The sequence below is a fragment of the Homo sapiens genome, chromosome 19 (assembly GCF_000001405.40).
Source record: "Homo sapiens chromosome 19, GRCh38.p14 Primary Assembly".
In the NCBI taxonomy this organism is placed as follows: domain Eukaryota; kingdom Metazoa; phylum Chordata; class Mammalia; order Primates; family Hominidae; genus Homo; species Homo sapiens.
The window spans coordinates 52,638,370-52,660,669 of NC_000019.10; the positions used below are offsets into that span (position 1 = coordinate 52,638,370).

The following is a 22,300-nucleotide window of genomic DNA, read 5'->3' on the forward strand; positions in this document are numbered from 1 at the left end:
GCGCAGTACAGAAGCCAGGTCTGGGCGGGGCCCGCGAGGTGGGCGGGGCCTGGATGAGGTAGGGGCGGGGTGGGAAGCCGAGAGACTTTCCCCTTTAGAACCAGCAGTGGGCGGGGCCAGGGCGGGACCTGTGAGTCTCTCAGCATCGTTCCCAGCGCAGAGGCATTTTTCGGGTTTTGGAGGCGAGACCGGCCAGGAAGGCTGAGGCATGATTCAAAAGCCCTGGAATTATCTGGAACGGGGATGCAAACTAGAATGTGAAATGCAAAGCCCTGCCTGGGCGGAAGGTACAATTTCATGCTGATAGCCCACAGAACCGAATAGAAATCCTCTCCCTTTCTATTCTCCATTCACTTGGGAGAGAGTCCACGCTGTGCTCAGCTTTAGAGACTCAGGCCACTGCCTGAGATGCAGGATGGAGTGCTCAGGCCAAGGATGGGTGAGGTCACCACCTGCGGCTTAAACACAGCTGGGATATGGGCGCGGGAGTGGGAGCCTGAGGTCCCAGCTATTCAGGAAGCAGCGGCGGGAGGATCGCCGAGCCTGGGAGTTCAGGCCAGCCTGGGCGACAAAGTAACACCCCCTCCCGCAGGGCTCCCTTCCTCGTCTCTCTCTCTCTTTTCTTTTTTATAATAAAATTTTTGATGATGTTACATAGGGATCCAACATTATTCTTTTCCACGTGGATATCCAGTTAGTTGTCCCAGCGTATTTGTGTAAGAGATCTATCAGTTTCTTTTTTTGTTTCTTGAGATGGAGTTTTGCTCTAGTTGACCAGGCTGGAGTGCAATGGCGCGATCTCTGTCTCCCAGGTTCAATCGATTCTCATGCCTCTATCTCCCAAGTAGCTGGGATCACAGGGATGTGCCACCATGCCCTGCTAATTTTGTATTTTTAGTAGAGATGGGATTTCTCCATGTTGGTCAGGTTGGTCTCAAATTTCCGACCTCAAGTAATCCGCCCGCCTCGGCCTCCCAAAGTGCTGGGATTACAGGTGTGAGCCACCGCGCCCGGCTTATTTTCTTTTATATATTTAGTTTTTTCTATTTTTTTTTTTTTTTTTTTTTGAGGCAGAGTTTTCTTTTTTGGCCAGGCTGGAATGCGGTGGCGAGATCTGGGCTCACTGCAGCCTCTGCCTCCTGGGTTGAACCGATTTTCCTGTCTCAGCCTCCGGAGTAGTTGACATTACAGACGCGCACAACCATGCCCGGCTAATTTTTGTATTTTCGATACAAACGAGGTTTCACTATATTGGCTAGGCTGGTCTCGAACTTCTGACTTCAAGTGATCTGACTGCCTCAGCCTCTGAAAGTGCTGGGATTATAGTCATAAGCCACACTTCCTGGCCCAAAAAATATTCATTTCTTTACTCTTTAAATTTTGAGAAAATATAATGGAAAACAAAAAAAATCTTCCCCCCAATGAGAAATCATCTTCACGATGATAATAGTGAAAGAAATAAAAACCACATTATTAATAAGTAAGCCTTAAACCAGAATGTGATGGGAAATTGAGGCAAACAGCTAAGAGGTTGAAAAGAGACAAGGAAACTTCACTGTTCTATACAACCCATTGAGTACATGTTTTCAAGATAAACACTAATCAGTCCTCAGGGAAGAGGACTTGACAACACTCTTGGTCACACATAGTTCATCCTGGCTCTATTTGGTAATGGAGGTGACCATCTGTGTCAGCTAATTAGCTTCATCCAGAGGGAGGGGGAAAACCCTAACCCATGTCTTTTTGACGAGTGTGAGTTTTACAACATAGCGACGCGTGCCCTCTCTGGTCAGGCGCCTACAATCCGACAGAAACTGACGTCAGCAGTAAATAATAAAATTTAGAATGTAAGATTAAGTACTGAGTTTATGTGAACACAAAGCTTGAAGAAAGCCACCTGGAAACACCAACTCCAAATAAATGAGATCGGCGTTCCAAAGTAGAGACGTTAAGGTTTCACACACAGGGAAAGACAGAGAATCTTTAGCAGAATCATGACAGCTTTCATTCAAGCCCAGTGCATAGGTTGCAGCAACTTGATTGGTTATGGATTGATACAATTCGAGGAAGGTCACTTTATCACTCCATAAGAAGTAACAATGATCCCATGAGGTCTTATCTCTGGGGCTGCTTAGTCTTCCTAATTATTAACAGGAAAACTCTTTTTTGTTTTTCTTTGAGAGGCAGTATTGCTCTGTCGCCCAGTGGTGCAATCTCAGCTCACTGCAACCTCCACCTCCTGGGTTCAAGCAGTTCTACTGACTCTAATTGTCAGTCCTCTCTGCAACCAGCGCCCCAGTCCACCCCTTTACTGAGGTCCCTGCCCTCCCCACTGCGCTGCCCCAGACTGAGGGGGGAGTTCGCCCCGACTGCAGGACTCTGCCTGCTCAAACAAGGCGCTTTGCATTAAAACCATTTTCAACTTAAGAGGAAAAACGATTCAGTGTTCAGTACAGGTGTCCTACTACAACATGTTGTTTTATCTTCGATTGTCTGAAACACTAACTTGAAATGGGCAGGAAACATCCCTGTGATATTAGGGGTAATATCACGGCACATCAGAACCAATCCACCAATCAGAACTCGGAGGATTTAGTCCAGGCGGGCAAGAGGATGACAGCAGGCGACATCTGGGGCCCAGCTGAGGAGAGAGCCCGAACCCGACCCTTGCCGGCCCCCACCCTTCAGAACAACACCCCCTCCAGACCCCGCCCCCAAGATGACGATAACCCTCTGGTTCTGCCCTTTCCCATTGTATGGCCTGGCCCCCAGGCGGCCTCCTCCCTCTTGCCCCGCCCCAGTCTTGTTCCAGGCACCGCCCCCACGCTCTAGCTCTCCTAGGTTCCTGCTTAAGTTTATACACTCATGGTCCACAGAGTCCTAAGCAGAAATATGGAAGACACCAAGCTCTGGTAATGTATCTATCTGACAGACTGAGCGTCTGCCTCAAGAACATAGCAATAGCAATACTAAGTGAAATATTAGGAAGTTTCACGTATGTATATAATTGATCATTTATTATTTGCAGCTTTAAATTGGCTAAAATTACATAGCATGGGTTTTTATTTTAATCAAATATTAGAAATATATCATTCATAAATGGAATCTAAGCACACAAAGTTGAAGAGCATTTCCCTATGTTGAATAAATATGAAGGAGTTCAGATTTTGGAACTGATTTAGTGCTTTCCATTACACTTAGTTCTTTTCTTTTCTTTTACTGTTTTTTGAGATGGAGTTTCTCTCTTGTTGCCCAGGCTGGAGTGCAATGGCGGCATCTCGATCATTTTGGAACTGATTTTGTGCTAGTTTTTTTCCTATTCTTTTTTTTCTGTGTTCATGAGCTTGTGAACCAAAAGTATCTAACAGGTCTCAATCAATTTAGAAATCTCCTTTGCCAAGGTTAAAAATGCACCTGTGACACAGCCTCAGGCGGTCCCGACCACAGGTGCCCAAGGTTTTCAGGCTGCAGTTTGGTTTTACATATTTTACAGAGACATGAGACATCAATCAATACATATAAGATGTACATTAATTCGGTCTGGAAAGGTGGAAAAACTGGAATTGGGGGGCTTCCGGGTCACAGGTAGATAATAAATTATCACATTCTTTGAGTGACTCATCAGCCTTTCACTGAATACACAATTTATATATGAGAGGGAGTAGAGGAATAGTCACTTATGCCTTAATCTGGCTCATTGACTCTGAATTTTTACATAAATAGGGCAGGGGAAGCAGTCAGATAGGCATTTGACTCAGGTGTACAGAGGGACGGGTTCTGTCCCACACCTGTGCAGATAAGCTATCAGTTTACATTGCCAGGGTAAAATTCAACAGAACTATTTTAGGGTGAAGAGCTTGAGGCTTCCAGTTTGTGAGGGGAGTATTGTAGCTTTTTTTTTTTTTTTTTTTTTTTTTTTTTGAGACAGTTTTGCTCTTGCCCAAGCTGGAGTGCAGTGGCCCAATCTCGGCTCACTGCAACCTTCGCCTCTTGGGTTCAAGCGATTCTCCTGCCTCAGCCTCTTGAGTAGCTGGGATTATAGGCAGGCACCACCACGCCTGGCTAATTTTGTATTTTTAGTAAAGACCGGGTATCTCCATGTCGGTCAGGCTGGTCTCGAACTCCCGACCTCAGGTGATCAACTGCACCCAGCCTCTAACTTTTTAAAAATCCTTGTAGCTATCTTGTTTAGGAATAAAACGGGAGGCAAGTTTGTCTGACACAGTTCCCAGCTTGACTTTTCTCTTTGGCTTAGTAATTTTTATTTTTCTTTCACCAGCTTGTGACAGACATAAGGCTTTGACACACTGATATTTCTTTATATACATTTTCCATAACAGTAAAGTCCAAGGGTCTATCATGAACTGGGTTAGTGGTGCATGTCTGTGTGTCTGTGGTCCCAGCTACTTAGGAAGATGAGGTGGGAGGATTACTTGAGCTCAGGGGTTCAAGACCAACCTGGTCAACATGGTGAAACCCTGTCTCTACTAAAAATACAAAAATTGGGCCGGGCACCATGGCTCATGCCTATAATACTAGCACTCTGGAAGGCTGAGATGGGCAGATTACTTGAGGTCAGGAGTGCAAGACCAGCCTGGCCAACATGGTGAAACCCTGTCTCTACTAAAAATACAAAAAGTAGCCAGGCTTGGTGGGTATCTGTAATCCCAGCTACTGGGGAGACTGAGGTAGGAGAATCGCTTTAACCTAGGAGTGGAGGTTCCAGTGAACTTGGGTGGTGGAGGTTGTAGTGAGCCGAAATCATGCCACTGCACTCCAGCTGGGCGACAGAGTGAGACTCAAAAATACAATAAACTAAAAATAAAAATACAAAAATTAGCCAGCTTTGTAGCACAAACCTGTAATCCTAGCTACTTGGGAGGCTGGGGCACAAAAATCGCTTGAACCCAGGAGACAGAGGTTGCAGTGAGTCAAGAAACAGAGACTGCACTCACAGGCTGGACCACAGAGTCAGACTCTGTCTCAAATAGAAAAAAAAAAAAAAGGCATTAACGATGTGAGTGATGCAGAGATAAAAATCCTGAGCAACTGTCGGGCATGGTGGCTCACTCCTGTAATCCTAGCACGTTGGGAGGCTGAGGTGGGTGGATCAAGAGGTCAGGAGATTGAGGCCATCCTGGTCAACACAGTGAAACCCCATCTTTACTAAAAATACAAAAAATTAGCTGGGTGTTGTGGCATGCACCTGTAGTCCCAGCTACTCGGGAGGCTGAGGCAGGAGAATTGCTTGAACCTGGGAGGTGGAGGTTGTGGTGAACTGAGATTGTGCCATTGCACTCCAGCCTGGGTGACAAGAGCAAAACTCTGTCTTAAAAAAGAAAAAAAAAAAATTCCTGAGTAACGTGAGAGACTGACAGGCAGAGGAATCTTCAGATGGGGGTGGGAGGGCATGGGAGACATCTCTGAGCCTAGACCTGAAGGAGGAGAAAGGGACAGTGCTGTCATCATTTAGGTACATAGTGTAAGAGCAGGGACAATAACCTGAGACAGGAAGGGTTTTGATGTTTGGGAAAAGAGAAAAGCAACTGTGACTGGGGCAGAGGTAGTCATGAGATGAGGGCAAGTTCCCAGGAGGAAGCTGGACACTGGCAGGGGCCCTGGACACAGGGCTGTGGAGCCACAGTGAGGAGTGGGGCTTTTGTCCTGGGGAACACGGGAAGCTGGTGGAGGGTTCCCTGCCAGGGACTGACATGACCTGCTTTAGATTTCGCTGTGATGTCCTCACACAGAGAAAGGCCCCGAAGATGGTCTCTGTGTCTGAGTCTACAACTCTGTTTCTTCCATTCTTCTTTTTTTTTTTTTCATTTTTAGGGTACTGCATCCCATTTAAAATTCTAATTACAACTGGACAGTCCCCTCTCACAGAAAAAAAGCCACATCCAGACACCCACTCTATTTTGCCAATCATTTCAGGGGCCAGGGTCACTCAGGTTGAGCTTTTCCGGTCTAGCCCCTCATCTGCAAGTTGCAGGGAGGCTCACTGAGGCTCAGAGTGAAGACATTTTCACCGAGTTACCCTGAGAAGGTCTGAGATGAGTGAAAAGATGTGTCTGAATTCTTACATGTGGGCCTGGAAGGGCTAATGGGAAGGGTTGGTCTTTATCACACCCATTATTGAAAATTAAAGAAGTGTCTTCCACATACCTGGGCTAAAAAAACCTCTTTTGCAAGGTTCTGATGCCATTGACTCCCAACATTTAATTCTTCATTACAAGAAAATCACAGTAACATTTATAAAATGCAGAAGTGTGAACACACAGTTATTGACCTTGAAAACAGTGAAAGAAGGTCAGCTGTAGAACTAAGACATGAGCAAATGTTTTCAATCAAGAATACATGGGTGGCCGGGTGCGATGGATCATGCCTGATATTGCAGCTTTTTGGGAGGTCGAGGCAGGTGGAGGTCTCAGGAGTTTGAGACCAGCCTGGCCAACATGGTGAAACTCCATTTCTACTAAAAATACAAAAAATTACCTGGGCATGGTGACAGGCACCTGTAGTCCCAGCAACTTGGGAGGCAGAGGCAGGAGAATAGCTTGAACCCGGGAGGAGGAGGTTGTGGTGAGCTGAGATCTCACCATTGCACTCCAGTCTGGGCAACAAGAGCAAAACTCCATCTTAAAAAAAAAAAAAAAAAAAAAGGGGGTGCTTTTGGCACAGCGTTCCGTGCCAATCCAACCCATCTTTCAACATTTGTCCAGAATGGACCAGAGGGCCTGAGGGAAACATGCACTTAATAGCTTACAGCTCAAGATTTTAACAAATGACATAAGGAAAGAAAACTGAAAAATAGACTAACTGGTTAAACTACACTTTGATGTTACGGTAAAAGGTCACTGACATCTTTACCGGGTACACACTGAAACAATCAAACCTCTGCATTAGGTACCAAAGGTTTCCAATAAATAATAAAGACTAGAAAGCATGCACATCTCGATTTGAACCAGACACAAACAGAAACTATTTTGAAATTGTTTTAAAAAATATAACAAATTCTGGGGTCAACAGGAAAATAACTGAAAAACATACATGTACAGAAAAAAATGATGTGAGCTGATTATAGGATGCAACAAAGGCATCTTTCAGAAGTGATTATGTATTAAAAAAGAAATTTTGAAAACTAAGATTTATCTTGGCCAGGCACAGATGCTCACGCCTGTAATCCCAGCACTCTGGGAGGCAAAGATGTGCAGATCACCTGAGGTCAGGAGTTTAAGGTCAGCCTGGCCAACATGGTGAAACTCCATCTCTACTGAAAATACAAAAATTAGCTGGGCGTGCTGACATATACCTGTAGTGCCACCTACTCAGGAGGTTGAGGCAAAAGAATCACTTGAACCCGGGAGACAGAGGTTGCAGTGAGCCAAGATCATGCCACTGCACTCCAGTGTGGGTGACTGAGTGAGATTCTGCCCCCCCCCAAAAAAAGGATAAAGAAAGAAAAATAGAAAAATGAAGAGGAAACAGAAAAAAAAATAAAGTAAATCTATTACACAAGAGAACAAAAGCAGTTTTCATGTTCCTGTTTTTGATTTTGTTTATTTTTTGTTTGTTTGCTTGTTTTTGTGAGATGGAGACTTGCTCTGCCACCCAGGCTGCAGGGCAGTGGCATGATTTCGGCTCACTGCAACCTCTACTTCCCAGGTTCAAGTGATTCTCGTGCCTCAGCATCTTGAGTAGCTGTGACTACAGGTGCATGCCACCACGCCCAGCTAATTTTTGTATTTTTAGTAGAGACCAGGTTGCACCATGTTGGCCAGGCTGGTCTTAAACTCCTGACCTTAGGTGACCTGCTCATCTCAGGTTCCCAAAGTGCTGGGATTACAGGCATGAGCCACCATGGTTTGATATTCCTTTAAAAAATTATATGTAGGCCAGGTGTGATGGCTAATCCCTGTAATGCTGGTACTTTGAGGGTCCAAGGCAGGAAGATCCTTTGCATCAAGGAATTTGAGACCAGCCTGGGAAACAGTGAAATCCCATTTCTCCAAACAACAACAACAACAAAACTAGCTGGGATTGGTGGCTCATGCCTGTGGTCCTAGCTACTCGGGAGGCCAAGGTACGAGGATCACTTGACCCCCGGAGGTCAAGGCTACAGTTAGAGGAGATCACTCCATGGCACTCCATCCTGGGTGATAGAGCCAGATGCTATCTGAAAATATTAATTAATTAGTTAATTAAATTAAAAGTATTATTGAGGCAGAAATTAAAGAAGAAAGCAAATTTTCCTCTGCTGAGCTCACTCACTCCAAGGATAGTAACATGAAAGGCCATAGAAAGGTTTGTGGTGACCCAGTCTAAGAAACTGGATACATCCCCCCCAACTACACATGGTTAAGAAAACAAATTCCTTTACTGTCTCTCCTTTCCCAGAATCATTAATTTTGACTATTTTTGCAAATGTCTGCATGTCTGTATTTAGCAAACTCTGTAAGTTCCTGTTTTTCTTTTGATGCATCTGCAAGGTCACAGCTAAGCAAGGCCACAAGTTATACCAAGGCAGCAGTTATGGTATAGATTACATAACCTGTCACTGTATGATTTACTGTCTTTGTCCTGCTTCTGTAAGCTTGCCTATATAAGCCCAGCTCTGTCTTTGTTCTGGGCTTAGCTTTCTGGATGTGAGTCCACTGAGCTGGTGTGCACCTTAATAAAACTCCTATGTTTCACCCATTGATCTCTCCAGTCCTCTCATTTCCCACATTATGTAATAACAGAAAGTGGTTTTTTTCCCACCTCACCGCCCCACTTCCTACACCACCCTGCAAAAAGGGAAGAGAGTGAGACTCTCAAGTGAATAAATCACTATCCTGTGGCTGAATAGGGATTCCAAGTGAAAACTAACCTCTGATGCCAAGATTTATAGAATGTACATGTCTTATAGATAGGCATTTTAAAATTCTCAGTTTCATCTGTATAATTTAAATAATTTATTTATTATATACACAGAAGTGAAGATGTCACAAGTAATCATATCCAATGAACTCACTCACTCATCTGCCTTGGCCTCTAGAGTAGCTGTGAGTACAGGTGTGCACCATCATGCCCTGTTAATTTTTGTTTTTTGGAAGAGATGGGGGGTCTCACTATGTTACCCACACTGGTCTCAAACTCCTGGACTCAGGCAATCCCCTTGCCTCAGTCTCCTAAAGTGCTGGGATTACAGGCATTAGTCACTGTGCCTGGCCCCTCTGTCTTCATTACTGTGCTTCCCTCCCTAATTCTGTAAATATCTCTCATTCTCCCCTTCTCTCTCTAGCTCTTTTTTTTCTATTTCCCTGGGATTCTGCACCTCATTCTGTACCCCTCTCTTCTGCTGCTGTTTATTCCCTTCTTACCTCTATTCCTTCTCTTCCACCTCTTCTGCTTCATCCTTGGAACTTATATAACCTCTTGTTCCTCCTTCTCCCCAGTCTTTCAATCATCCTCAATCTCCATATATTTCCACCTCTTCTCCCATCTCTGCACCTCCTCTTTTCTCCCTGTTAAATTATCTCTTCCCTGTTATACCCCTCTGTACCCACTCTCTGGCACCCTAGATTCCCAGCTGTGTTCCCTGCTGTTGTTCTTCCTCTGTTCTCCTTGCCACCAGCACCACTCTGCTCTGTCTGTCCTGGCTGCAAATCCCTCCTCCTCTCCCTCACTCTGATGAGCCTCCCTTTTTGCTGCCCCTCTTCCTGCCTTGCTGTTCTTCATCTCTCTGTACATCTAGCTTTTCTCTACATTTCTCCAGTTGCTTTTCTCCTCCTGCTTTCTTATCTTTTTTTTTTTTCACTTTTGTCACCTCTTGGCAAATCCCTCACCCCTCCTCTACTTTACCATCTGTTATGAGTCTCTCTCATTCTTCTTTTCTCTGTCTCAGGTTTTCTACTGCTCTATGTCTGTCTCCTGATCCCTTTGGCCCACAGAATTGTGGTAAAGGTTAAAAAGAAAAAGAAACAAGTTTTCTTCTGCTTAGCAGCTCACTTCAAGGAAAGTTATAAGATAACGCTGTCCAAAAAGCTAAGGCTAAAGTAATGGGCTCTAGACACTTTTTAAATTCCAGAACAAAGTGAAGGAAAAAAAAAAGAGAGAGAGAGAGAAAGACAAATTCTTCTACTGTTACTCATTTCCCTAGTCTCTTAAGCATGACTATGTTTTACAAATGTCTGTATTTAGCCAGTTCTTTTTTTTGACACAGCTACAAGGCCACCAGCTATGTAGAATCCAACTTCTCTAAGACTCATACAATATAAGCCCTATACTGTAATCTTGTTCAGTCCCGCTGCTGTTAAAGTTGCAGGTGTTGTGCCTTAGATCCACCACAGTCAGCTGAAACTGGCAGCTCAAGACAAGTAGACAAGCCAGCAGGACCCAGATCATCCAACTCATCCTGAGATGAGATCAACCTGCTGCTAAAGAAGACTGCCTGCTCTAGTCACTACGGAGTCTGACCAGTCTATGCACAGCTGAAGCTTGAGGGAACAAGCCCTGTTCTAGTCACACACCAGAAGCTGACTAGTCTATGCATGGCTGAAGCTTGAAACTCCAGGCCCTACCTCCACCTCCACCCTCTAACCAGGCCCAGCTTCCAAAGCAGCCTCCACCCTCTTGCCCAGCTCCAGCGACAGTTTTCATGCCCTGCCCCCTCAACGACCTTTCCCTTCTCCCGCCGGGTCCCCACCCACTGTCCAGAACCCACCCAGACAGGGTTGAAGGCCCACACACGGTTGTTCTTCAGCACTCGAGGCTGACACAGGTGAGTGGTTTTTTTGTCTTCCTGCTTCAAACCTGGCTTTCGCAGCACCCCAGCACCAATTCCAGCCACACCAGGAATCTGCATGCTTTGGGATATTGAAATCCCCCACGTGAGTTTGTGCAGTTGTCAGGAAGTCCCAACTTCTCCAAGGGAAGCAGGCAGGCTGGTGGCTTTGCAGCTTTTGTATCGTTTTATAAAATGATACAAAAGATCTTGTATGAGCCGGTATGACACATCTGACAACTTTACAGGTAATATTGGAGTATTATATATAAGGCAGTTGATTTGCAGGACTGCTATGAGAGTTTGGGAACGTAAATACCTATCCAGCCAAAACGTTCCCATTGTAGACCAGAAATTCCCGACCCAAGATCCTCAATGGGATAACGACACAGTCCACTAAAAATTCATGAAAGATATAAGGGAAATGATAATTAAAGGAATTCAGGAGTCAGTGCCCTGTGCTCAGAATCTTCCCCGAGCATTTTAGATAAAACAGAAAAAAGATGAAAGCCCTAAAAACTTTCTAAAAAGACTATGAGAACAAATGAGAAAATATGCACATTTGGATCCAGAAGACCCTAGCAGGCAAGAAATGTTAAAGCTACATTTTGTTACCAATAGCTAGCCATTGGTAGCCATTTAGCAAGCCATTGCAAAAAAAGTTACAGAAACTAGAAAACTGGAAAAAACAGTCTATACGGGAATTCTTAGAATAAGCTCAAAAAGTATATGTAAGGAGGGATGAAGAAAAACCAAAGCAAAAAGAAAAATTTTCTGACAGAATGCACCAGAGGCCAAGCTTAAGCCTCCATTTGCCAGGCCTCACAAAAGATATGAGACAGGGGGGCCACAGAACTCAAAGACAGGTAAAAAGGGAAAGCAAACCCAGTACCCTAAGACTCCAAAAACTGAAAAGGGAGAGGGACAAGACAAATGTTACAAGTGTGGAAAATTAGGTCATTTCAAAAGAGAATGTCCTGAGTGGAGAAAGGAGAAAAAAAAATCCCACTTAAGGAATTTAAAGAATAAGGAAGTCAAGGGCTCTGTCTTTTCTATCTCCAGTCCCACTGAGAGCCCGTGGTAAATTTAAAGGTGGGACCAAAACATGAGCTTGTTACTTTTCTTTCTTTTTTTTTTTTGAGACAGAGTTTTGTTCTTGTTGCCCAGGATGGAGTGCAATGGCGTGATCTTGGCTCACTGCAACCTCTACCTCCCAGGTTCACGTGATTCTCCTGCCTCAGCCTTCCCAAGTAGCTAGTATTATAGGCATGTGCCACAAAGTCTGGCTAATTTTGTATTTTTAGTAAAGATGGGGTTTCTCCATGTGGGTCAGGCTGGTCTCGAACTCTCGACCTCAGGTGATCCGCCCACCTTGGCCTCCCAAAGTGCTGGGACTACAGGTGTGAGCCATGGCACCCAGCCGAACTTATTACTTTTCTAATAGACTCAGGAGCTTCCCACTCCTCTGTTTGTTTTGTGCCCTCTAATATAAATTGTTTATTAGAAGAACTTCAAGTTTTAGGAGTCAAAGGGGAAGGATTTAAAGCCAAAGTCTCAGAAAAAACAGAAGTCAGATTTGAAACCCGATCAACCAATGTTAAATTTTTGCTACTTCCTAAGGCTGGGACAAACTTGTTAGGAAGTGGCCTAATGGCAAAGTTAGGTATAGGCTTGCGTGTAAGCCCAGAAGGATTCTTCACTTCATTAAACCTGTTTACTACAGCAGAAGAAAGCTACATCAATGCTAATGAGTGGTCAAGGGAGGGAAATTGAAGGAAGCTACAAGTTCCTCCAATTCACATAAAGTTAAAAACTCCCAGGGAAACAGTGAAAAGAAACCAATATCCAATTCCCTTAGAAGGTAGATTAGGTTTAAAACCTCTAATTGAGAGCCTTATCTGAGATGGGCTACTTGAACTGTGCATGTCTCCCTATACTACTCCAATATTACTTGTAAAGTAGTCAGATTGGTGATACTGACTTGTAGAAGATCTTCAAGCCATTAATCAAACTGTTCAAACCACTCATCCTGTTGTTCCCAATCCATATACTATTCTCAGCAAAATTCCATATGACCATCAGTGGTTTACAGAAATAGACCTGAAAGATGCCTTCTGGGCATGTCCTTTAGCTGAAGATAGTCAGGATATATTCACTTTTGAATGGGAAGATTCTCACTCTGGGTGAAAACAACAATACTGCTGGACAGTCTTACCCCAAGGATTTACAGATTCTCCTAACTTGTTTGGCCAAATTCTTGAGGAGGTGTTAGAAAAGATGAGCATCCCAAAGTGTATATCTATGCTCCAGTATGTGGATGATATACTAGTGTCAGGGAAAGCTGTAGAACAAGTATCTGGCTTTTCCATCAGCCTTCTCAACCATCTCTGTGGAGAGGGACTATGTGGTGTGGTGGCACACATCTGAAATCCCAGCTACTTGGGAGGCTTAGAAAAGAGAATTGCTTGAATGCAGGAGGTGGAGGTTGCAGTGAACCAAGATTGTGCCATTGCACGCCAGCTTGGGCGACAAGAGAAAGACTCTGTCTCAAAAAAAAAAAAAAAAAAAAGAAAGAAAGAAAAGAAAAGAAAGAAAGAAGGAAAGAAAAAACAGGCTGGGCAAACTGGTTCAGGTCTGTTGGCCCAGCTGGTCTCAAACTGCTGACCTCAAGTGATCTGCCTGCCTTGGCCTCCCAAAGTGCTGGGATTATAGGTGTGAGCAACTGCACCCTGCCCATTCTTCTTGACGTAAACACTTTTTATGTCAATTAATGCTTGAACTCAATGTTAAGTCAACTCAAACTCTAGTCAATGCAGAATTGACTCTAATGTCAATTAAAGTTTGTCATTTTCTATAGTCATTGTATTTGGGACAATTATCTCAAAAATGAATTTTCTACTGTTCTGCAAGGAGTGACCTCAGACTAAAGACATTGCCACACCTATTCCATTTGTAAGATTTCTGTCCAGTATAGATTCCCTGATGTCTAATGCGGTGTGAATGTAAAGTAAAGACATTGCCACACTGGGCGTGGTGGCTCATGCCTGTAATACCAGCACTTTGGGAGGCCGAGGCAGGCGGATCACAAGATCAAGAGTTGAGAGCAACCAGGCCAACATGGTGAAACCCTGTCTCTACTAAAAACATAAAAATTAGCCAGGCTTGGTGGAGCATGCTTGTAGTCCCAGCTACTCAGGAGGCTAGGAAGGAGAATCGTATGAACCTGGGAGGTGGAGGTTGCCGTGAGCCGAGATCACGCCACTGCACCCCAGCCTGGACAAAAGAGTAAGACTTCATCTGAAAAAAGAAAAAAAAATGACTGCCACAATTATCACAGTTGTGAGGTTCTCTCCCATATGAATTCTCCTGTGTTTTGCATAAGATGAAGCTTGACTGAAGACCTTGCTGCAATCATGACATTTGTAACGTTTCTTTCCAGTATGAGTTCACTGATGAACTGCAAGCTATGAACAATGTCTGAAATATCTGCCACATTTACTACACTTGTAAGATCTCTCTTCATTATGGATTCTCTAATGATTTGCAATGCTTGTAGCATTACTGAGGACTTTGTGAGAATCATTACATTTGTAAAGTTTCCCTATACCATGGATTGCTTGATGATGAATAAGTGATGACTGCCCACTAAAGGCTTTGCCACACTCATTGCACTTATAAGGATTTTCTCCAGTATGAAGTCTATGATGGCATACAAAGGATGACATATGACTGAAGGTCTTGCCACACTCATTGCACTTGTAAGGTTTCTCTCCACTATGAAGTCTATAATGGTATACAAAGGATGACATATGACTGAAGGTCTTGCCACACTCATTACACCTGTAAGGTTTCTCTCCAGTATGAACTCTCTGATGTTGTGCAAGGTTTGACTGTTGATTAAAAACCTTGCCACATTCATTACACTTGTAAGGTTTCTCTCCAGTATGAATTGCCTTATGAATTAGAAGGGATGAATTTCGAGCAAAGGTCTTGCCACACTCATGACAGTTGTAAGGTTTTTCTCCGGTATGAAGTCTACGATGGCCCACAAGGGATGACTTCTGACTGAAGGTCTTGCCACACTCATTACACTTGTAAGGTTTCTCTCCAGTATGAAGCCTATAATGACATGCAAGGTGTGCTTTTTGATTAAAAACCTTACCACATTCATTACATGTGTAAGGTTTCTCTCCAGTATGAACTCTCTGATGTTGTGCAAGGTATGAATCACGCTGGAAAACCTTGCCACATTCATTACATGTGTAAGGTTTCTCTTCAGTATGAACTCTGTTATGGCGTGAAAGGCATGAATTATGCCTAAAAGCTTTGTCACAAACCTTACATTTGTATGGTTTCTCTCCAGTATGAATTCGCCTATGTGTTTCAAGTTGTGATCTGCAACTGTAAACTTTGTCACATCCTTCACATTTGTAAGGTTTCTCTCCAGTATGACGTCTACGATGCCCTACAAGGGATGACGTCTGACTGAAGGTCTTACCACACTCATTACACTTGTAAGGTTTTTCTCCAGTATGAAGTCTATGATGGCGTGTAAGAGATGACTTGTGACCGAAGGTCTTGGAACACTCATTACACTTGTAAGGTTTTTCTCCAGTATGAACTCTATGGTGCCATGCAAGGTATTGCTTTTGATGAAACACTTTGCCACATACATCACATTTATATTGTTTCTCTCCTGAATGGGTTACATGATGTCTTCTTAAATGTGAGCTATAATTAAAGGCTTTGCCACACTCATTACATTGGAAAGGTTTTTCTCTCATGTGTTCTTCCTGGATTTGTGTCAATAATGAAGAATGGAGAAAGTTCTTCCCATACCTATTAGAAATATGGGTTTTGAGCCTACAAGAAATTCTTTGGGATGTTGAAACCAAGGAAGCATTGTTGATAGACTTCTCCACTTGATTATCAATTTTCCCTTCAGTCTGAAATTCGTGCAGTTCAGGCAGATGTGAATAAAAGCTTGATCCAAGCTGATCTTTAATAGGCTTGTTTCCAGCATGCCTTTGATCACGTCGGTCTGTACTACCAGTCAACTTTTTGATTTTTGTCATGGGTGCTTCATGGCCATTTCTTTTAATTTCTTGCCACTGAAACTCAAAGTCATGAATATCTTTCTTGATTTCTGGGAAGCAAAAATCTCCAATGTGATGACTTTTATGTCTTTGCAATGTCCCTGTGTGGATCACTTCTCCTGTATTACCGTGCCCTGTTGATGAGAACTCCGTCATGGATTTTAAAGAGCTATCTAAAAAATATAAAGACCAATAGGTTTCCAATTAAGTACAGATGGTAAATAATATTTAATACTGAAATGTGTTAATATTACACAAAAAGCAATACTTATTTTAAAATTCCCAAATATGATCTTCAAAGTTTAAGAACACCCTGTCTCTATTAAAAATACAAAAATTAGCCAGGCATGGTGGTGGATGCCTGTAATCCCAGCTACTCAGGACGCTGAGGCAGGAGAATTTCTTGAACCTAGGAGGCAGAGATTGCAGTGAACAGAGATCACATCATTGCACTCCAGCCTGGGCAACAAGAGCAAAATTCCATGTCAAACAGAGTTCAGTCAAGAGCCTCATATATATGATGCAGTAAGCCTGAATGATGTCCTCCCTAAGAGGAATTTCTACAGCAGTGACTGCTGTTTAGAGAACATGATCATTAGTTTATGTGATGATCACTGTCACAGTACCAGTGAGAGATGCTTCTGTGATGCTCCTTAAAAACCAGAACAAAAGGCCAAGGGTGGTGGCTCAGGTTTGTAATCCCAACACTTGGCTAGAGGCTGAGGTGGGCAGATTGCTTGAGACAAGGAGTTTGAGACCAGCCTGGCCAACATGGTGATTCCCCATCTCTAATAAAAATACAAAAATTAGCAAGGCATGGTGACTTGCATCTGTAATTCCAGTTAGGTTGGGAGGCTGAGGTATGAGAATTGCTTGAATGCAGGAGGCGGAGGTTGCAATGAGCTGAGATCACAACAGTGCACTCCAGCCTGAGCAAGAGAGGGAGACTCTGTCTCAAAAAACAAAACAAAACAAAAGCAGAATCACAGCTGGAAACACTTGTCAGTCACTGTCATGCTTTCTAGCTCATCTCCTGGGCCACCCTGACAATTCTGCTCAGGGCTACCAGGGGCATCTCTGCTTAGAGCAGGATGACGTTCAATTCTATTAGTCAAAGTGTTCATGAATGTTCTGTTTTTATGTAAAACCACTCCATAGGATAGTCTCTAAGAAGCTGTCTATGACAGACAGGAGGATCATCACTGCAGAAAACAATGACATGTACATCAAAAGCATGTATGCGGCAAAATCACAAAAGAGAATACAAAACCAGGAAGAGCCAAGATAGACAAGGGCAGATTCCTCACATCAGGAGGGACATTTTCCTCACCCACAGACTCCAGGTTCCTGTAGTTCTCCAACATCACGGCCCTGTATAAAGCCCTCTGTGCAGGGTTCAGGCATTTCCACTCCTCCAAAGAGAATTCTATAGCCACATCCCTGAAAGTCAAGCATCCCTAAAATTAAACACACATTTCAACAAAACATTAGGGAGGAGTCATTACCTTCACACAAAATGAGAAAAGAGAAAATAAGTATTGATTTGATCCAAGACGGTGTTCTGACAAACCCACATTAAGGTATTTTTGAACATTTCTTTTTGTGCAGTTGCATTTTATTGTACTTTCCCATGATAGATTTTGAAATCTCCTAGTCACTGTGGAAGTCTCAGTTTTATGGAAAATACAAAAAATATATGTCTGGGCACGGTGGCTCACACCTGAAATCCCAGCAGTTTGGGAGGCTGAGGTGGGTGTATCAACTGAGCTCAGGAGTTCGAGACCACCCAGGGCAACATGGTGAAACCAAGTCTCTACTGAAAACACAAAAACATTAACTGGGTGTGGTTGTGCATGCCTCTAGTCCCAGCTATTTGGGAGGCTGAGGTAGGAGTATAGCTTGAGCTCCAGAGGCAAAGGTTGCGGTGAGCTGAGATTGTGCCACTGCAATTCAGCTTGGGCTGCAGAGTGAGACTCCGTCTCTCTCTCTCTCTCTCTATATATATATATAGCCAGGCATGGGGGCTCACACCTATAATCCTGTCACTTTGGGATACCAAGGTAGGTGGATCACTTAAGGTCAGGAGTTTGAGACCAACCTGGGCTACATTGTGAAACCCCATATCTACTAAAAATAGAAAAATTAGCTGGGCATGGTGGGGGAATGTGCCTGTAATCCCAGCTATTTGGGAAGCCGAGGCAGGGGAATTGCTTCAACTCTGGAGGCAGAGGTTGTGGTAAGCTGAGATGACAGCACTGCACTCCAGCCAGGGCAACAGAGCAAGTCTTTCTCAAAATAAAAATATATGTATGTATATATTGCAAATAATGTGTTTTCTACTAAAACCATGGGCTTGGCTTGGCATGGTGGCTCACACCTATAATCCGAACACTTATGGAGGCTGAGGCATGTGGATCACAAAGTCAAGAGATTAAGACAAGCTGGGCCAACATGCTGAAACACTGACACTATTAAAAACACAAAAATTAGCTTGGTATGGTGGTGTGCGCCTGTAGCCCCAGCTACTCAGGAGGCTGAGGCAGAAGAATCACTTGAACTCGGGAGGCTGAGGTTGCAGTGAGCTGAGATAGTGCCATTTCATTCCAGCCTATCGACAGAGCGAGACTCCGTCTCAAAAAAAAAAAAAAAAAAAAAATCATGGGCTTCTCCATTAATGCTCTCCTGGACACATTGCAAATCACACCTACACACACTTCAATTAACTTCAGTCGGGACATTATAAGCAAAGACCTAGAGAGGACACATCCACAGCTACTCACGAGGCTGAGGTGGGAGGATTGCTTGAGCCTGGAGAGCAGAGTTTGAAGTGATCCAAGATTGCACCACTGCACTCCAGCCTGGGGGACACAGCGAGACCCTATCACCCCCACCCTCCCAAAAGTTGGAAGCTCATTGAATTAAGAGACAACTTCAAGAAATCATAAATGCAATGCATGAAGAAAATGAGAAGGTCAGCCAACATACAGAAATTACGAAGAACTACACAGAAACTCTCGGGCTAAAAATACAGTAACTAAATGGAAAAACTCAATACATGGGTTCAAAATCAGAATACATTATGTAAATTAAAAATTAGTGAAAAGGGGACAGGTGAGGTAGCTCATATCAGGAATTTGGGAGGCTGAGGTGGGTAGATCACTTGAGGTCAGCAGTTCGGAGACCAGCCTCATCAATATGGTGAAACTTTGTCTCTACTAAAAATACAAAGATTAGCTGGGTGTAGTGGTGGGCTCCCCACTGCACTCCAGCCTGGGTGACAGAGTGAGACTGTCTCAAAAAATAATAAAATAATTTTTTAAAAAAGGCCAGGCATGGGCCAGGCACAGTAGCTCATGCCTGTAATCCCAGCACTTTGGGATGCCAAGGCAGGCGGATCACCTGAGGTCAGGAATTCGCGACCAGCCTGACCAACATAGAGAAACCCCGTCTCTACTAAAAATACAAAATTAGCCAGATGTGGTGGTGCATGCTTGTAATCTCAGTTACTTAGGAGGCTGAGGCAGGAGAATCGCTTGAACCTGGGAGGTGGAGGTTGCAGTGAGCCGAGATTGCATCATTGCACTCCAGCCTGGGCAACAAGAGAAAAACTCTGTCTAAAAAAAAAAACAGGCATGGTGGCTCATGACTGTAATCCTAGCACTTTGGGAGGCCAAGGCGGGGGGATCACCTGAGGTTGGTAGCTCAAGACCAGCCTGATCAACATAGAGAAACTCTGTCTCTACTAAAAATACAAAATTAGCCGGGTATGGTGATGCATGCCTGTAATCCCGGCTATTCAAAAGGCTAAGGCAGGAGAATTGCTTTAACCATGAAAGCGGAGGTTGCAATGAGCCAAGTTCATGCCATTGCACTCCACCCTCGGCAACCAGAGTGAAACTTCATCTCAAAAAAAAAAAAAAAAAGTAGTGAATAGGAAAAGAAACAACAACAAAGAATAAAGAAAAATGAAGGGAGTCTAAACAGACTAACAGGACACCATCAAGGACACCATCCTACACATTATGAAAGTCCCAGGCCAGGTTCTGGCTCATGCCTGTAATTTCAGCACTCACGCCTGTAATTCCAGCACTTTGGGAAGCCAGGGTGTGGGGATCACCTGAGGTCAGAAGTTCATGACCGGCCTGGCCAACATGGTGAAATTTCATCTCTACCAAAAATACAACAATTAGCCAGGTGTGGTGGTGCGCACCTGTAACCTCAGTTACTTGGGAAGCTGAGGTGAGAGAATCGCTTGAATCCAGAGGCAGAGGCTGGAGTAAGCCGAGATTGCACCACTGCACTCCAGCCTGGGTGACAGTGTTGGGATTTACTCAAGATAGGGGCAGAAATATTAAAGAGAAATATTAGGGAAAGTTATAGGGAATAGTCACAAACCTTTTGGAAGGCCGAAAGGTTATATAGCTTGTAATAATTGAACAGGCTGAAGGCACCCGGTTCTTACCTTAGAGCATTAGGTCATAGGGTAAATACTAGGGACAATAGAGGCTTCCCCAGTTAAGCCTGTTTACCCTACCTCCATTAACTAACCTTTGAGCCAGATGGCCCTCTAGCGGGAGGCTGACCAGGGAAATTGCCCCTTAATGGTATTTACTTCAGATCACAGTACCTGAGCTTTAATCATTCATGAAACTACTCTCTTAACCATGCTAATTATCCTCAAGTGTGTTTACTCAAACTTCTGTTGTTAATTCTATTCTAAATAAATGCCTGGAGTGCGAGCTGCTCAGGGCCGGCTCTTGGTGTGCAGGCGATTGGGCACCCAGCAGGACTGGCAAAGCAGAATATCTATGTGTCGGTGTACGTTTCATTCATCCGTCTGGGCCAGGGTCCGTGGGCAGACCCCCGCAGCTAATGCCCTCTTGTGAGGAGCAATACCTCAGTTGATGTCCTGTGTGAGGAAAGTCAGGGATCTGCAGAAACAGACCCCCCACAGTTCAAGCCTCTCTTGAGGCAACCTGTGAAGGAAGCGTGAGGACCGCCCTCTTGAGGAAAGCTGCGATGGAAGCATGAGGAACGCGACCCCCGAAAACAAAGGCAAAGAAGGATTTCGTGGTCAAGCCAGTGAGTAATCAGTAAGTCATTGGTGCCCACTCGAGGTTACCACCTTCTGGGGGAAGTTGAGTCAAGCTAAGGTTTCATCACGGGACAATAGTTGTCAGCTCAACAGAAACGGTATATAAAAATGTTCAGACAGTTGCTTAAGGCTACTGGTCGGAAACACAGCAGAACTAGCAAAACGGAATTATCTGTGTGTCAGTGTATGTTTTATTCATATGTGGTTTAGGTCAGGGTTGACATGCAGATCCCACAGCTAATGCTCTCTTGTGAGGAGCAATACCTCAACAGAGCAAGACTCCAACTCAAAAAAAAAAAAAAGAGTACCAGAAGTCACAGAAGTGAGTGAGAAGAAGAAAGGAACAGAAAAGCTTGTTGGAAGGCATAATGGCAAAAATTTCTAATTTCAGGATGCAAAAGAAACAAATTCAACACCTTAAGAATATCCAACATGGATAAATCTAAGTAAGAGACCTATAACAAACAACATCATAATAAAACTGTCAAAATTCAGAGATAGAGAAAGAATCCTAACAACAGCCAAAAGAAGAGCTAACTCTCACCCAAGAGGGAGCTCCTGTAATATTATCAAGATATTTCTCGGCTGGGTGGGCGGTAACTCACGCCTGTAATCCCACGACCTTGGGAGGCTGAGGCGGGCAGATCATGAGGTCAGGAGTTCGAGACCAGTCTGGCCAACATAGTGAAACCCATCTCTACTAAAAATACAAAAAATTAGCGGGGTGTGGTGGTGTGCGACTGTAATCCCAGCTACTCAGGAGGCTGAGGCAGGAGAATTGCGGTGGTAAGACCATGGTGGTAAGAATCATGGTGGTAAGACCACAGTAGTAAGCTTTGCTTAAGTGAGTGGGAAATTTTGCATAGTCTTAGTCAGAGAGGGCACCTCTGCAGCTGGGGGTAGGGATGGAATCTTCCCACATCTAAAAGAGGAAATGGCAAATCCAAGAAGAAGCAATCAGTTTTCAATGCCCCAACTTGCAGGAAACTTCCAGATATCTGCAGTGAAGTCACCATGCTCACAGGCAGCCAGTGTGTTATTCTTAGCAACAGTGAAAAACTGTCAAGGAGATTAAGTGAAGTCAGGGATTTGAGACCAGCCTGGCCAACATGGTGAAATCCTGTCTCTATTAAAAATACAAAATTAGCCCAGAGTGGTGGTGGACACCTATAATCACAGCTGCTTGGGATGCTGAGGCATGAGAATCTCTTGACCCTGGGAGGTGGAGGTTACAGTGATCCCAGATTGCTCCAGTGAACTCCAGCCTGGGCAATAAAGGGAGATAGAATTTAAGATGACGGGGACTGAGAAAAGCCTTGGGTGAGTGCGAGCAAACTTGTGACG

General features: G+C 44.0%; 2 protein-coding genes across 10 annotated transcripts in view, besides 2 other annotated features; both read right to left on the reverse strand.

The window, feature by feature from the left end:
- The window catches only part of ZNF83 (zinc finger protein 83), a 78,120-nt gene that overhangs the window by 25,993 nt on the left and 29,827 nt on the right, over positions 1–22,300 (reverse strand). For 6 of the 9 annotated variants that reach the window (NM_001277946.2, NM_001277949.2, NM_001277945.2 and 3 more), the window contains one exon: positions 17,192–17,318. The exons of 1 other annotated variant lie outside the window; for it this stretch is intronic. The gene's annotated coding sequence lies outside the window, so the exon portion shown is untranslated. Of the gene's footprint in view, positions 1–6,495; positions 6,639–17,191; positions 17,319–22,300 lie in introns of all 9 variants that reach the window. 2 more of the 9 variants (NM_001348018.2, NM_001348017.2) reach the window with 1 other exon arrangement.
- Positions 34–233: a silencer, noted in NCBI's record as "silent region_10996". NCBI's record gives its function as "represses an Ori minimal core promoter by ATAC-STARR-seq in GM12878 lymphoblastoid cells {active_cell/tissue: GM12878}" and the evidence as "EXISTENCE:reporter gene assay evidence [ECO:0000049][PMID:35858748]".
- Positions 10,207–10,501: a silencer, noted in NCBI's record as "tiled region #1800; HepG2 Repressive non-DNase unmatched - State 23:Low, and K562 Repressive non-DNase unmatched - State 17:Gen3'". NCBI's record gives its function as "represses a minimal TATA promoter and a strong SV40 promoter by Sharpr-MPRA in HepG2 and K562 cells {active_cell/tissue: HepG2 | K562}" and the evidence as "EXISTENCE:reporter gene assay evidence [ECO:0000049][PMID:27701403]".
- The window catches only part of LOC122539214 (Zinc finger protein LOC122539214), a 40,050-nt gene continuing 29,827 nt past the window's right edge, over positions 12,078–22,300 (reverse strand). The window contains exons 3-4 of the mRNA NM_001396016.1: positions 17,192–17,318; positions 12,078–16,034 (exon numbers count right to left, since the gene is read on the reverse strand). Of these exons, the coding sequence (NP_001382945.1) occupies positions 14,299–16,034; positions 17,192–17,318 (1,863 nt within the window). The 3' untranslated portion in view covers positions 12,078–14,298. The remainder of the gene's footprint in view (positions 16,035–17,191; positions 17,319–22,300) is intronic.